At 49.4% G+C, this 15,249-nt stretch overlaps 1 long non-coding RNA gene and 1 pseudogene across 5 annotated transcripts in view, besides 4 other annotated features; one reads left to right on the forward strand and one right to left on the reverse strand.

Annotated features, from left to right (window-relative positions):
- Positions 554 to 754: a silencer, noted in NCBI's record as "peak1651 fragment used in MPRA reporter construct". NCBI's record gives its function as "represses an SCP1 promoter by STARR-seq MPRAs in K562 erythroleukemia cells {active_cell/tissue: K562}" and the evidence as "EXISTENCE:reporter gene assay evidence [ECO:0000049][PMID:32103011]".
- OVOS2P (ovostatin 2, pseudogene) overlaps positions 2,254 to 15,249 on the reverse strand; it is an 89,584-nt pseudogene continuing 76,588 nt past the window's right edge. Inside the window, exons 37-45 of the transcript NR_153414.1 lie at positions 13,695 to 13,773; positions 11,741 to 11,885; positions 9,565 to 9,599; positions 8,022 to 8,086; positions 6,959 to 7,071; positions 5,439 to 5,529; positions 4,998 to 5,066; positions 3,583 to 3,685; positions 2,254 to 2,411 (exon numbers count right to left, since the gene is read on the reverse strand). The product of NR_153414.1 is annotated as an ovostatin 2, pseudogene (transcript). The remainder of the gene's footprint in view (positions 2,412 to 3,582; positions 3,686 to 4,997; positions 5,067 to 5,438; positions 5,530 to 6,958; positions 7,072 to 8,021; positions 8,087 to 9,564; positions 9,600 to 11,740; positions 11,886 to 13,694; positions 13,774 to 15,249) is intronic.
- On the forward strand, positions 7,862 to 15,229 carry LOC124902912 (uncharacterized). Of its 4 annotated transcripts, XR_007063267.1 has the most exons (7): positions 9,500 to 9,555; positions 11,107 to 11,257; positions 11,828 to 11,902; positions 12,692 to 12,867; positions 13,716 to 13,790; positions 14,570 to 14,745; positions 14,825 to 15,229. It is a non-coding gene; the product is annotated as an uncharacterized LOC124902912 (long non-coding RNA). The 4 variants fall into 4 exon arrangements; XR_007063265.1 differs by lacking the exons at positions 9,500 to 9,555; positions 11,107 to 11,257; positions 14,570 to 14,745 and adding an exon at positions 7,862 to 8,143; XR_007063268.1 differs by lacking the exons at positions 9,500 to 9,555; positions 11,107 to 11,257; positions 12,692 to 12,867 and adding an exon at positions 7,862 to 8,143.
- Positions 7,866 to 8,396: an enhancer, noted in NCBI's record as "H3K27ac-H3K4me1 hESC enhancer chr12:31270198-31270728 (GRCh37/hg19 assembly coordinates)". NCBI's record gives its function as "activates a minimal SCP1, AML or CMV promoter by ChIP-STARR-seq in naive and primed H9 embryonic stem cells {active_cell/tissue: H9 hESC(naive and primed)}" and the evidence as "EXISTENCE:reporter gene assay evidence [ECO:0000049][PMID:30033119]".
- Positions 8,397 to 8,926: an enhancer, noted in NCBI's record as "H3K27ac-H3K4me1 hESC enhancer chr12:31270729-31271258 (GRCh37/hg19 assembly coordinates)". NCBI's record gives its function as "activates a minimal SCP1, AML or CMV promoter by ChIP-STARR-seq in naive and primed H9 embryonic stem cells {active_cell/tissue: H9 hESC(naive and primed)}" and the evidence as "EXISTENCE:reporter gene assay evidence [ECO:0000049][PMID:30033119]".
- Positions 11,579 to 12,108: an enhancer, noted in NCBI's record as "H3K4me1 hESC enhancer chr12:31273911-31274440 (GRCh37/hg19 assembly coordinates)". NCBI's record gives its function as "activates a minimal SCP1, AML or CMV promoter by ChIP-STARR-seq in primed H9 embryonic stem cells {active_cell/tissue: H9 hESC(primed)}" and the evidence as "EXISTENCE:reporter gene assay evidence [ECO:0000049][PMID:30033119]".

Genomic DNA, 15,249 nt, shown 5'->3' on the forward strand with positions numbered 1-15,249 from the left:
TTTTTCTTCTTTTTTTTTTTTAAGAGACAGGGTCCTTCTCTGTCACCCAGGCTTAAGTGCGATCATGGCTCATTGTATCCTCAAACTCCTGGGCACACACAAACAGTCCTCCTGCCTCAGCCTCCCAAGTAGCTAGGACTACCGGTGCATGCTGCCAAGCCCAGATAATTTTTTTTATTTTTTGGAGACACAGGTAGTCTCATTCTGGTTTCAGCTCTGGAAGGGGTGAAGAACAAGTCCCCAGAGCCCATCCTGTCCCTCGTGGATGACATACTGAGGGCTCAGGAAGACTCTCCCTCACAGCCTGCCCCAGTTTCCAGGCTGAGCCACCTGAGCAGCTGCTTCAGAAAGCCTCTTGTGCCATAGCCATGCTTAGGAAAAAGCATATCTTCCATTCAATTCACCAAGAAACACCAAGAAATAACTGGATACAAAGAATAAAAAATACTCTGCCACACTGGCAGGGCAGGAGGGTGAAAATTGTGCCCCCTCCAAAGGTAATGTCTATAAAAGGATAACTAAGGCCAGCGCCAAAGTCCACCTACAGAAGGCGGGTCTGTCTCAACCCCAGCTGTCAGTCACTGTGAACTTTTAGAACTGGGGCTGAAGCTTCTTCCAGTTGCTTGCTCAGATGTCAGTGAGACCGCTCCACAACAGATAAGGGGAGCTGTGTGTCAGGGAAGTCCCAGCCACTAGCACAAGCTGCACTCCAGGCAGACGTTTCTGTTCTTGTGCAAAGAACAGCGCAATCCATTCAAGTTCACAGGGGCGGGTGGCACTTGAAAATGTCAGGGTCAACTTGCAGGGCAGAAGTTAGCAGGGAAGTAAGTCTTCCTGGGGGAGTGGGAGAGCCCAGCAGAGTTTAGGAGGAGGGAGGGGCAACATCGGGGCAATCCTCTGAGTCTCTCTTTCCTCCTCAGGAACTGTCCAGGAAGACCCTGCAGTCTCTCTGCAGGCTCATGGGAGCTCCCAGAACTGAGACAACACACAGATCCAGGCCTGCTTCGAAGTCAGTGGGATGCGGCCCTTGAAAGTCGATGTATTGGGTTCCTAGGGCTCTTGTGAAAACATGCCACACCTGGCTGGTTTTAAACAACAGGAGTTTATTCTGTCAGTTGAGAAGGCTAGAAGTGCAAAATCAAGGTATTGACGGGATGAGTTCCAACTAGAGGCTGTGAGGCAGATCAACTCCATGGCTCTCTCCTGGCTTCTGCTGGTTTCTGGCAACCATTCACTTCCCATGCCTGGTAGACACATCACTCTAACCTCTGCCTCCCTTTTTCACGGGCACATTCGCGTGTGTGTGTGTGTGTGTGTGTGTGTGTGTGTGTGTGTGGATGTGTGTGTTAAGGACAGCAATCATTAGACTAGGTGGGGCCCACTCTAATCCACTGTGAGCTTCTCTTACTTTGGTAACATATGCAAAGACCCAATTTCCAAACAAGGTCACATTCCATGTTCTGGGACTGTCTTCTGTGAGATGTCTCCCCCAGGATCCTTCCAGGTTTTCTGCAAAGCCAGGCAGAAAACCAGGATCAGGGCAGGACAAGAGGATGCTAGCCTGTGATGGCTCCCACTCAGGTGGGATGTGAGAAGTGCCTGTGGCCTGGGACACACCAACTTGCTCCCAATACCTCATCTGAGATGGATTGCACAGTGTATGTCCAGGGCCCATCCCGGCACACTGTGCCTTTGCAATGCTGTCTCTGCGCTTTGGAAATTGACTCAGCCCACTGCGTGGGGTGGTCTGAGGCGGGCCACAACCATTTCTTAACCATCCCTGAGTACCTGACCAGTATCCCCCGGGGGTGACAACTGGCTACATCTGGAGCATGAGGAGCGTGTTTACCTGGTGAGTAAGGATGCAAGCATAGGACGTCCTGGCCGATCCTCTGCACAAGCAATGCCTTTGCTCCAACGGGATGGGCAACGTTGGATTAGGCCTGAGGCAGATTTGATCTTGGAAGATACATTCAAGTCTACGTGTTTTGTGCGTTTATTTTCGTTTCCTTGAATTAACATGGAGTCCATTTCAACTTTCACTTAGTCTCCTTCTTTCTCTTCCCCCACTTCTCTCTCTCTCTTTCTTTGTATATGGAAGAATTTAACTCTGTGTTCCATAATGTCTAAATACTCAAATTTAGAGTTGACAGCCATACAGCAAATTATTCAAGTTGCTGTCAAAAAAAAATCCCTGCGTTTTCTAGGATTAAAACTGTGAATAGAGTACTGGAAGAAAAAAAAGTCATAGACTCAGATGCAAAATGACAACATTTAATGGGATGATAAGGAAATAAGACTTGTCAAGAAACCATAGCCCACTGCAGACTGTTCACGATGTCAGATGGTTCATGATTTTTTTCCAGGTTTGATACAGAAGAATCAGTTTGTTAAAAGAAATGCTTCTCCACCTGGGATTTAAAACATCATTTAAACAATAAACACATTTGTATGTATATATAAATAGATATTTAGAAATAAAAACATGCATATATAGGCACATAGACATGTATATACATATACACACATATGTACAAATATATATGCCTAAATTTTTACTGACCTGTCAACTTACAAAACAAAAATGAGAGATTTATAAAAGGTACATATATAGCTGTGAATTCTTTAAAGCTATTTTTAAAGAAATTAATATAATCTTAATGATTATCAGATTACTCATGCAGTACACAGCTACACAAGTCTAATGAAGTACCAGAGACTTTTCTTTCTTCAACTATTGTCCTATCTTATTCAGGTTTTCATTTTCTTACTAGATGTGTTTTCAATGGTTTATGACGTAATAAAATTTCTTTACTTCTTCCAGTAATTGCTTTGTCTCACTCGGAAACTGAACTACTGTTGATGTGGTAAAAAGCTAGGGCATATTCTTCTGAAAAAATAAAGGGAACATGTATTTTTATTAAATAGATGATATAAGCACATTAGATCTAATCCTTCCAATAATTTTGAAATAGAGACAATTACTTTCCCATTTTATACATTATGCAGAAATATGCTAATAATATTTAAGACACTTGATGAAATATATTCTATTAGTAAATGATAGAGACAGAATTCAAACACTCCACAAACTTCACACAGCATTCAACAAGAAATAAATAGTACCAACCTTCCAGGGAACAGTTGTATGGTCTCTACAACATTTTAGTATATGTTTTAGAAATTAATCTATCAAATTTTTAAGTTAACATTTCAGAATATTCCCCACTCCTCTTTTTAAGTCAAAGTCCACAGAAGTAGCTTGGAACAGTCAGTCTTAGCATGAACAACAATGACAATAACAAAAAGACCTGGAAGCTTAGTGTGGCTTGTATTTCAAGTTCAAGTGGAGCCCTGTCAGGTTATATTGCAAGGATTCTGGTGTTGAAAAACTCTGGTAACTGGAAAATGGGTTCAGTCAGAAGACACATCATGGGATAAAGAAACCAGAACACAAAGTAATGCCATTTATTGTTTACTCTGTGAAGACAGAGGTTGATTTTGGAAAGTTTAGTAGCTCAGGGAATGTTAGATATAAACACCACATTCAATAACCTTAGGGCATGGCTGTTGCTTGCCTACCTTTTTCGTACTAATCGTAGACCATGCCTGGGGCTGGCTGAATGTTGAACACAAGGTTGCTCTGCTCAGCAGAAAAAGTGAAACTGTCTGCTCGACCAAAAACCTATCATGACACAAATTATAATTACATTGTAGCAGGTCTGAGAAAAGATAATCACTGAGAAAATTATCCGCAGAAGTTTATGATCTACATAATTAAATAGATCTAGGGTATGATTAACTTACATATTGGCAAAATAATGAGTTGTTAACCTTAAATCATATAAAATTTCAAGTTCCTTTGCTTACATTGAGGTGAGAGGAATTTAGCTGGAAGTCTCAGAGGAATGTAGGCATTTATGTGAGTGGTAACAATACACATAGAAAGGATGTCTCTAAAGCGCATGCCATAGTTTGGCATTTCCTCAGTAAAATAAAAATAGAACTACCCTATGATCCAGCAATCCCATTTCTGGGTATGCATCCAAAGAAAATGAGATGAATATTTTGAAGAGACAGCTGCAGTCCCATGCTAATTCTTTCATTAATCACAATAGCCAACATAAGGAATCAACCTAAGCGTTCGAAACAGATGAATGGATAATGAAACTGAGGCATATACACATACAAATTATTCGGCCTTAAAAGAAGAAAGAATTTCTGCCATTTGTAACAACACTGAAGAACTTGGAGGACATTATGTGGAATGAAACAAACCAGATACACACAAAAAACACTGCAGGATCTCACCTGTAAGTTAAATCTAAAGTTGAGTTCATAGATGCAGACAGTAGAATGGCAGTTATCAGGGATGGGAAAATGGGGAGATGCTGGTCAAAGGATAGAAAGCTTCAGCTGTGCAGGATGAATACATTCTACAAATCTCAGGTACAGCGGTGGCCTACAGTTAACAATGCTGTACTGTATATGTAATATTCCCTAAGGGAGTAGATCTTAAGTGCTTTGTCACAAAAAAAGAAGAGGTAACTGTGTGAAGAGAGGGATGTGTTAGCCAGCTAATTCACATATAGTCACGCTAGATGATAACAATCAGCTCACTATATATATCAAAACATCACACCACATACCTTCAATACACAATTGTAATTTCAAAAAATTATGGCAAACTTTGTAAGACTTTAGTCAAATTATAAAATAATTACATATCTACTCTGTGACCAGACTGTGTTTGATAGGGAGATGATGTTTCTAAAATGGAAAGCTATCTAGTCACATAGCCAGGGCATATATGAAATAGCCTTGGAACTAGCAAGGAGAAGATGATCAGTGGGATAAAACACTGGTAATCCTTAACGTCCCTTATTTTTTCCTTTTACAAATCCTATCATACATATCTATAAGAAATTGAAGCATCCAATTATCCTTGGAAGGAAAAAAGAAAAACTTTAAAGAAAAAAAAATATGGCTAAACTTACATTTTCCAAGTAGAAAAGAACATGGTCATTCTTGACTTCAGTCTTCATCACTTGGCCCTTGTTTTCAAGCTTTGAAGAAATTGTTAGGGAAGGATAGAGAATAGATATTAGAACAAATGACAGCGCCACTGCAGAACTGAATGTCCACTCTTTTCTACGTCACGTTCTGTTTTATGGAACATTCCTTGGTGCCATGATGTTTTCATAAACACAGGTAGCAACTAAAGAAAAACATATGATGAACCATGGGAAATACTGACTGCTAATTGGTACAAATGAAGTACACCAGCTCTCCAGTGTTAGCGCAAAAATACAAAGGTGAATGTTGAAGAAGAATTCTATAGTTTTGTTTTGCTAAACTACGGCTAAACAAGTATTTATTTTATCTTTATACTCTATGTAGCTGTCTTTGTGATGAAAGATTAGGCTTCTATTATTTACCTCTTCAATGGATGACATGGTTGGAGTAAATCCTGATAGCATTTTTACATCTATAACCACCATACTGGATTTATTGCGAATTCCAGTGTATCTGAAAATTTTAAGAAAACACTCGTTTAGATATCAATTTTAAAAAGTGACTTATCTCATAATGAGAGTGCCAGGTGGATAAATACTAATTGGCTAGAAATCTGGAGGACAGGTAAAAGCTGAAGAGAAAATATCGGAAGAAAGTCATTTTCAAGCATCTGTGAATAGGCACAACCAGAATGATAATGAAAGAGATGATACATAGCAACAGAAATTGGAGCAAATAATGAATTATCTGGACATGAAATCTTCCCCAAACCCTGCTTTTAAGCTTACCTGCAGTCTCAAAGTTTGAACTGATAAACAGAGCTTCTAAATCTTTTACATATACTTAGGTTAGTGTTAGAGTTGCGTAACACTTAGAGGACATCTTTGCTTAAAAGGTGGTATATGAGCATAATTATAGAGTAGATGTGTCCCCAGGAGAACTTCTAGCTCAGTTTCCTGCTTCTGGATAAGACTATTGGGGTATGAAGTTAAGAGTTCCATAGTTCATCAGGGCGTGGTTGCTCACACCTGTAATCCCAGCACTTCTGGAGGCCAAGGTGGGTGGATCACTTGAGGGTCAGAGTTCAAGACCAGCCTGGCCAATATGGCAAAACTCTGACTCTACTAAAAATAGAAAAATTAGCCAGATGTGGTGGTGCACGCCTCTAATCCCAGCTACTCAGGAGGCTGAGCCGTAAGAATCCTTTGAACCCAGGAGCTGGAAGTTGCAGTGAGCTGAGATTGTGCCACTGTGCCACTGTACTGCAGCCTGGGTGACAAAGTAAGACTCTGTCTCAAAAAAAAAAAAAAAAAAAAAAAACCAAAAAAGAAAAAGAGTTCCCCAATTCATTGAGTTCTTAGCCCTGGAGCTCAAGCGATTTTTATTTAGAAATTCTAAAAAATATCTCCCAAACTAATTTTACTCAATGTTTTCCACATATTAACTAAGGCTAAAAGCCTTTAGCATCTATAAATCATGCTTGAATTCAAGAGGATCATTTCGTTTTTCTATTCTGAAAAGTAAAAATCTAAAATGTTACTCTTTACAGTTACAAAATAAACATTTGTGGGCTTGCTACTATATGACCATGCATGCTTGTCTTGAGAAAGAAATATAGAATCTCTGTTTTTCAAAACTAGGAGTACTTCCATACAACAGAATAAAAAGTATCATTGAAACATCAGTGCAGTGAAAGCTTTCAAATCCTGCTCACATAGACTGCATGTTTTCTTGCCTCATTTTAGCTCTGATTTAGCTGAAGATGTACTAAATTGTGGTGTCCGGACAGACGGCTAAAAAGTGACTGTGCTGTAGAATTGTCACCACCAACATGAGAACTCATTACCATGATTTATATTTTGTTATTTCACTACTGTTTGAACTTTTAAAATATTTTACCATCTTGTTCACGTGGGAGTTACTGTCAAAATATGACACTTACTTGAGGTTCACTGTGAGGTCAAAAACAGTCAAAGAGTAGTTCTTTACTATTTCCAAGGAAAGAGAAAATCCAGATGCCTTCTTAGGTAGGAGAACATTGTACTTAAGGGTGGCCTAGAAAGGATAGCAAATTATAAGAAAACCCATCCTGTATTAAGAATTATACAGTCTGACTATAGTCAGTAGTAATGTGATTTTACATTTTAAAATAACTAAGAGTATACTTCGATCATTTGTAACACAATGGATAAATGCTTGAGGTGATGCATACCCCACTTGCCCTGATGTGATTCTTACACATTGCATGCCTGTATCATGCACCCGGTAAATATTTACACCTACTATGTACCCACAAAAATTAAAAATAAAACATTTTTAAAAAGAAAGAACCTATTGTTTATTTCTATTACTAATGCAGTTTACATCTTTATCATCAGGGAATCAGGTTAAATTCTTTAGTTTTCAGAATAACGTAATTTAATGAAGATAGAATACTTTCTAATAGCAATATTCCTCAAACTTCTCTTAGACAGCTGAGTAGCTTTTCATAAAGTAACTTGCAATTTTGGCTATTGATCATGTAAATACACAAAACGGTCAAATAACACTTCACGTAGAACTGAACAGACAGTCTGACTCTTTTACTGGCAAACACTCATCACCCTCTTAGGCAGATTTCTGTAACCTGGATAAATGTACAACCGCGTCCTTCCACATCTACTGTGTATTGTCCAGGTGCCTGTGTTACTTCTGAACGTTGGACCAGTAGGCGGTTATGACCGTTAAACTGGATCTCACTGGATCCTTCACTGCTAAAGGTGACAGTGTTTTGATTCTTAGAGAAGAGCCCCTCTTCCCCGCCTGGCTCTTAGGATCCCCATTGCAGGGCGGGGAGGCACCCACCGCGAGGGGGAGACTGAGAGCCAGTCCCTCCCACCCCCGGCTCTTAGGACTCGCATCGCAAGCGGGGGAGGCACGCCACGCGAGGCGGGGACTGAGAGCCAGCCCCCCTTCCCCCCGGGCTTAGGACCCCCATCGCGGTTCCTAAGATCCTTAGGACCCACCTGGAGGACTGTGGGTATGGGGTGTCCAAGAAGAAAGCTCAGATCTGCCCACGGCAGGTACCTTACTTGGGATTTACAATCGACAGGGGTCCGAACGCAGCCCGGGAAAAGAAAGAAAGCAGGTCATTTACAATCTACCGGAGCCAGCCCGTCTTCCCCTCGCTTGCTCTTAGGTCCCCCATCGCAGTGGGGGGAGGCACCCCTCGTGAGGCGGGAACTGAGAGCCAGCCCCACCTCCCCCCTGGCTCCTGGGACCCCCATCGCAGTGGAGGGAGGCACTCCCCGCGAGGCGAGGACTGAGAACCAGCCCCTCTTCCCTCCCTGGTTCTTAGGACCCCCATCGCAGGGACGGAGGCACCCGCAGCGAGGCGGGGACTGAGAGCCTGCCCCTCTTACCCCCCTGGCTCTTAGGACCCCCATCGCAGGAGTCGGAGGCACCCCCCGCGAGGCGGGGACTGAGAGAGAGCTCCTCTTCCCCCCCAGGATCTTAGGACCCCCATCGCGGGGGGGGAGGCACTCCCGCCAGGCGAGGACTGAGAGCCAGCCCCTTTTCATCCCCTGGCTCTTAGGACCCCCATCGCAGGGGGGGAGGCACACACCGCAAGGCGGGAACTGAGAGCCAGCCCCACTTCCCCCCTGGCTCTTGTGACCCCCATCGCTGTGCGGGGAGGCAACCCCCGCGAAGCGGGGACTGAGAGCCTGCCTCTCTTCCCCCCCAGGCTCTTCGGACCCCCATCGCAGGCGGGGGAGGCACCCCCTGCGAGGCGGGGACTGAGAGCCAGCCGCTCACTCCCCCTGACTCTTAGGACCCCCATTGCAGGGGGGGGACGCACACCCGGAGAGGCGGGGACTGAGAGCCAGCCCCTCTTCCCCCCCAGGCTCTTGAGACCCCCATCGCAGGGGGGGGGCAACCCCCACGAGGCGGGGACTGAGAGCCAGCCCCTCTACCCCCCCATGGCTCTTAGGACCCCCAATGCAGGCGCGTGGCACCCCCCGCGAGGCGGGGACTGAGAGCCAGAACCTCTTCCCCCCCTGTGTCTTAGAACTTCCATCGCAGCGGGGGAGGCACTCCTCACGAGGCGGTGACTGAGAGCCAGACCCTCCCACCCCCGGCTCTTAGGACCCACATCGTAGTGGCGGGAGGCACCACCCGAGAGACGGGGACTGAGAGCCAGCCCCTCTTCCCCCCCTGGCCCTTGGGACCCCGATCGCAAGGGGGGGAGGCACCCCCCGAGAGGCGGGGATCGAGAGCCTGCCCCTATTCCCCCCCCTTGGCTCTTAGGACACCCATCTCATGGGTGGGAGGCACTTCCAGCGAGGCGGGCACTGAGAGCCCGCCCCTCTTCCCCCCCTGGCTCTTAGGATCCCCATCGCAAGGGGGGAAGACACCGCCCACGAGTCGGGGACTGAGAGCCAGCCCCTCTTCCCCCGCTGGCTTAGGACCCCCACCGCGGATTCTAAGATCCTTAGCACCCACCTGGAGGACTGGGGGTTTTAGGTGTCCAAGAAGAAAGCTCAGACCTGCCGACCGCAGGTACCTTACCTGGGATTTACTATCCGACAGGGGTCCGAACGCAGCTCGGGATCAGAAAAAAAGCAGGTCATTTGCAATCTACCAGAGCCAGCCCCTCTTCCCCCCCTTGCTCTTAGGACCTCCATCGCAGCGGGGCAGGCACACACCGCGAGGCGGGAACTGAGAGCCAGCCCCTCCCACCTCTGGCTCTTAGGACTCACATTGCAAGTGGGGGAGGCATCCTCCGCGAGGCGCGGACTGAGAGCCAGCCCCTCTTCCCCCCCTGGCTCTAGGGACCCCCATCGCAGGGGGTGGAGGCACCCCACGCGATTCGGGGACTGAGAGCCAGCCCCTCTCCTTCCCCCTGCTCTTCGGACCCCCATCGCAGGGCGGGGAGGCACCCACCGCGAGGCGGGGACTGAGAGCCAGCCCCTCTACCCCCCGTGGCTCTTAGGAGCCCCATCGCAGGGTGGGAGGCCACCCGGCGAGGCGAGGATTGAGAGCCAGCCCGTCTTCCCCCCTTGGCTCTTAGGAGCCCCATCGCGGGTGGGGAAGGCACCCCCCGCGAGGCAGGGACTGAGAGCCAGCCTCTCTTCCTCCCGTGGCTCTTAGGACCCCCATCGCAGTGGGGGGAGGCACCCCCCGCGAGGCGGGGACTGAGAGCAAGCCCATTTCCCCCCCCCCCGGCTCTTAGGACACCCAACGCAGAGGGGGGAGGCACCCCCTGCGAGGCAGGAACTGAGAGCCAGACCCACTTCTCCCCGGCTCTTGGGATCCCCATCGCGGGGAGGGGAGGCACCCCACACGAGGCGGGGACTGAGAGCCAGCCCCTCTTCCCCCCCTGGCTATTAGGACCCCCATCGCAGGGGGGAGAGGCACCCCCCGAGAGGCAGGGACGGAGAGCCTGCACCTCTTCCCCCACGGGCTCTTAGGACCCCCATCGCAGGCGCTTCGCACCCCACGCGAGGCGGGTACTGAGAGCCAGCTCCTCTTTCCCCCGTCTCTTAGGACTGCCATCGCAGAGGGGGAGGTAACCCCCGCCAGGCAGGGACTGACAGCCAGCCCCTCTTCACCTCTGGCTCTTAGGCCCCCATCGCAGAGTGGGGAGGCACCACATGCGAGGCGGGGACTGCGAGCCAGCCCCACTTCCCCCCTGGCTCTTGGGACCACCATCGCAGTGGGGGGAGGTACACCCCGCGAGGCGGGGACGGAGAGTCAGCCCCTCTTCCCCCACTGGCTCTTGGGAACCCCATCGCAAGGGGGAGAGGCACCCTCCGCGACGCGGGGACTGAGAGACAGCCCCTCTTCCCCCCCTGGCTCTAGGGACCCCCATCGCAGGGGGTGGAGGCACCCCACGCGATGCGGGGACTGAGAGCCAGCCCCTCTCCGCCCCCCCCGACCCCGCCCGGGTCTTCGGACCCCCATCGCAGTGGGGGGAGGCACCCCATGCGAGGCGGGGTCTGACAGCCAAACCCTCTTCCCCCTCTGGCTCTTATGACCCCCATAGCAAGGGGGGAGGCACCCCCCGCGAGGCGGGGACTAGAGCCAGCCCCTCTTCCCACCCTGGCTTAGGACCCCCATCGCGGATCCTAAGATCCTTAGGACCCAACTGGAGGACTGTGGGTATTAGGTGCCCAAGAAGAAAGCTCAGATCTGCCGACGTTACTTGGGATTTACTATCCGACAGGTGTCCGAACACAGCTCGAGATCAGAAAGAAAGCAGGTCATTTGCAATCTACCGGAGCCAGCCCCTCTTCCCCCGCTTGCTCTTAGGACCCCCATCGCAGCAGGGCAGACACACACCCCAAGGCGGGAACTGAGAGCCAGCCCCACTTCCCCCCTGGCTCTTGGGACCCCCATCGCTGTGTGGGGAGGCTCCCCCCGCGAAGCGGGGACTGAGAGCCTGCCCCTCTTCCCCCCCCAGGCTCTTCGGACCCCCATCGCAGTGGGTTGGAGGCACCCCCTGAGAGGCGGGGACTGAGAGCCAGCGGCTCTTTCCCCCTGGCTCTTAGGACCCCCATTGCAGGGGGGGGGACGCACCCCCCGCGAGGCGGGGAGTGAGAGCCAGCCCCTCTTCCCCCCCAGGCTCTTCGGACCCCCATCGCAGGGGGGGAGGCACCCCCCGCGAGGCGGGGACTGAGAGCCAGCCCCTCTTCCCCCCCTGGCTAAGACCCCCATCGCGAATCCTAAGATCCTTAGGACCCACCTGGAGGACCCTGGGTATTAGGTGTCCAAGAAGAAAGCTCAGATCTGCCGACCGCAGGTACCTTACTTGGGATTTACTATACCACAGGGGTCCGAACGCAGCCCGGGATCAGGAAGAAAGCAGGTCGTTTGCAATCTACCGGAGCCTAAGGGCAGAAGGCAGGTGAGAGAATTCTTAGGAGCTGTGGGGTTTTGTAGACTGTGGATCCCAAACTTTGCAGTATTAGCCAAGCCTTTGTATGAGGTCACAAAGGGGGCGGGGACCGGGAAGCTTTGGAATGGGGATCCCAACAACAGGAAGGCTTTCAGGAGTTAAAGGAAAAACTTCTGGCAGCCCCAGCCCTGGGGCTACCGGATCTGACAAAGCCTTTTCCATTGTATGCGTCAGAGAGGGAAAAGATGGCAGCTGGACTTTTATCCCAAACTGTGGGGACCTGGCTGAGGCCGGTGGCCTAAGTCTCTAAACAAGTAGACAGGGTTTCTACAGGATGGCCCCCCTGTTTGAGGGCCTTGGCAGCAACTACTCTGCTAGTACTAGAAGCAAATAAGCTGACTCTTGGGCAAAACCTGAACATAAAGGCCCCCCCAAACTGTGGTGACTGAGAGCCAGCCCCTCTTCCCCCCCTGGCTCTTAGGATCCGCAGTGGACTCACAGCCTGTTTACCATATTGTGAGTAATATCATCTCCCCCTCTGGAGACCTCTGGAGATTATGAACTGTTTCACAGACAGGTGTACACCCTTGGTGTACAGAGGGTGTACACCCGTCTGTATTGGGAGTAATATCATCCTCTTCCTCCCTGAATATTAAGAACAGTATCACAGGGGTGTTTCTACTCCCTGCGATATCGCGTGTCATATCCTCCTCTCCCACGTTGCAATTAGAAACAATATCAGTGGTGGCATGTCCACCTTCTGTCATATTGAAAGTAATATCATTTTCTTCCCTCCAGGATCGTGGGAACAATATCCCAGGGGGGTTTCCACTTTCTGCCATATATGTAGTCACATCGCCCACTCCGCCTTGGAATATTATTAAGGACCATCTAACACGAGGGTGTATACGTCCTGCGATATTACGAGTAATATCAACTTCTTGGCCTCTGAATATGAGGAAGAATATCACAGGGTGGGTGTATACCTCGTGCTCTATTATGCGGAGTCGTATCTGTCTATTACGGGGAGTAATATCATTCTCTCCCTTTCAGGATATTAATAACAATTTCACAGGCTGGGTGAACACAGCCGGCGATGCTGAAATTATTATCATCCTCTCCCCCTCTTCCCCTCCTGGCCCTTAGGACCCCCATCGCAGGGGGCTGAGGCACCCCCCGCGAGGCGGGGACTGAGAGCCAGTCCCTCTTACCCCCCTGGCTCTTAGGACACCCATCGCAGGGGGGGGAGGCACCCCCCGCGAGGGGGGGACTGAGAGCCAGCCCCTCTTCCCCCCCGGCCCTTGGGACCCCCATAGCGGGGGGGGGAGGCACACCCCTCGAGGCGGGGACTGAGAGTCAGCCCCTCTACCCCCCCGGCTCTTGGGAACCCCATCGAAGTGTGGGGAGGCACCGCCCGCGAGGCGGGGACTGAGAGCCAGCCACTCTTCCCCACCGGCTCTTGGGATCCCCACCGCAGGGGGGGTAGGCACCCCCCGCGAGGCAGGGACTGAGAGACAGCCCCTCTTCCCCCCCTGGCTCTTAGGACCCCCATCGCAGTGGGGGAGGCACCCCCCGTGAGGTGGGGATTGAGAGCCAGCCCCTCTTCCCCCCTGGCTCTTGGAACCCCCATCGCAGAGGGGGGAGGCACCCCCCGCGAGGCGGGGACTGAGAGCCAGCCCCTCTTCCCCCCCTGGCTATTACCCCCATCGTGGATCCTAAGACCCTTAGGACCCAAGTGGAGGACTGTGGGTATTAGGTGTCCAAGAAGAAAGCTCAGATCTACCGATGGCAGGTACCTTACTTGGGATTTACTGTCCGACAGGGGTCCGAATGCAGCCCGGGATCACAAAGAAAGCAGGTCGTTTGCAATCTACCAGAGCCTAAGGGCAGAAGGCAGGTGAGAGAATTCTTAGGAGCTGTGGGGTTATGAAGACAGTGGATCCCAAACTTTCCAGTTATTAGCCAAGCCTTTGTATGAGGTCACAAAGGGGGCGGGGACCGGGAAGCTTTGGAATGGGGATCCCAACAACAGCAAGGTTTTCATGAGTTAAAGGAAAAACTTCTGGCAGCCCCAGCCCTGGGGCTACCCGATCTGACAAAACCTTTTCCATTGTATGTGTCAGAGAGAGAAAAGATGGCAGCTGGACTTTTAACCCAAACTGTGGGGCCCTGGCTGAGGCCGGAGGCCTACGTCTCTAAACAACTAGACAGGGTTTTTAAAGGATGGCCCCCCTGTTTGAGGGCCTTGGCAGCATCTACCCTGCTAGTACTAGAAGCAAATAAGCTGACTCTTGGGCAAAACCTGAACATAAAGGCCACCCATGCTGTGGTGACTGAGAGCCAGCCCCTCTTCCCCCCCTGGCTCTTAGGATCCGCGGTGGACTCACAGCCTGTTTACCATATTGTGAGTAATATCATCTCCCCCTCTGGAGATTATGAACTGTTTCACAGACGGGTGTACAACCTTGGTGTACAGAGGGTGTACACCCGTCTGTATTGGGAGTAATATCATCCTCTTCCTCCCTGAATATTAAGAACAGTATCACAGGGGTGTTTCTACTCCCTGCGATATCGCGTGTCGCATCCTCCTCTCCCACGTTGCAATGAGAAACAATATCAGTGGGGCCGTGTCCACCTTCTGTCATATTGAAAGTGATATCATTTTCTTCCCTCCAGGATCGTGGGAACAATATCCCATGGGGGTGTACCCTTTCTGCCATATATGTAGTCACATCACCCACTCCGCCTTGGAATATTATTAAGGACCATCTAACACGAGGGTGTATACGTCCTGTGATATTGGGAGTAATATCAACTTCTCGGCCTCTGAATATGAGGAAGAATATCACAGGGTGGGTGTATACCTCGTGCTCTATTATGCGGAGTCGTATCTGTCTATTATGGGGAGTAATATCATTCTCTCCCTTTCAGGATATTAATAACAATTTCACAGGCTGGGTGAACACAGCCGGCGATGCTGAAATTATTATCATCCTCTCCCCCTCTTCCCCTCCTGGCTCTCAGTCCCCGCCTCACGGGTTATGTAGCGGGTTATGGCAAGAAGACAAACTGCAGTTTCCTGCACAGAACAGCACAAACAATGATCCAAGCTCAGTTACAACACAATATTGGTCATCATTTGACCATGGACTTCAATATCAACCCTTAGAAACCTTCCTAAAACAGGTCAGCAAAACACCAAGAAGCAATATCCTGAATGATAGGAAAATATCCTTGCTTGTGCAAATTGTTTCCACTTAATTTTTTTCAACAAATGTTAATTATATTTTTACTTTCTAAAAATTTTTAATAAAATATAGCCTACTTGGTTAAAAATGGTGTCAAAGCTTTTCTAA

The sequence above is a fragment of the Homo sapiens genome, chromosome 12, assembly GCF_000001405.40.
Source record: "Homo sapiens chromosome 12, GRCh38.p14 Primary Assembly".
NCBI lineage: Eukaryota > Metazoa > Chordata > Mammalia > Primates > Hominidae > Homo > Homo sapiens.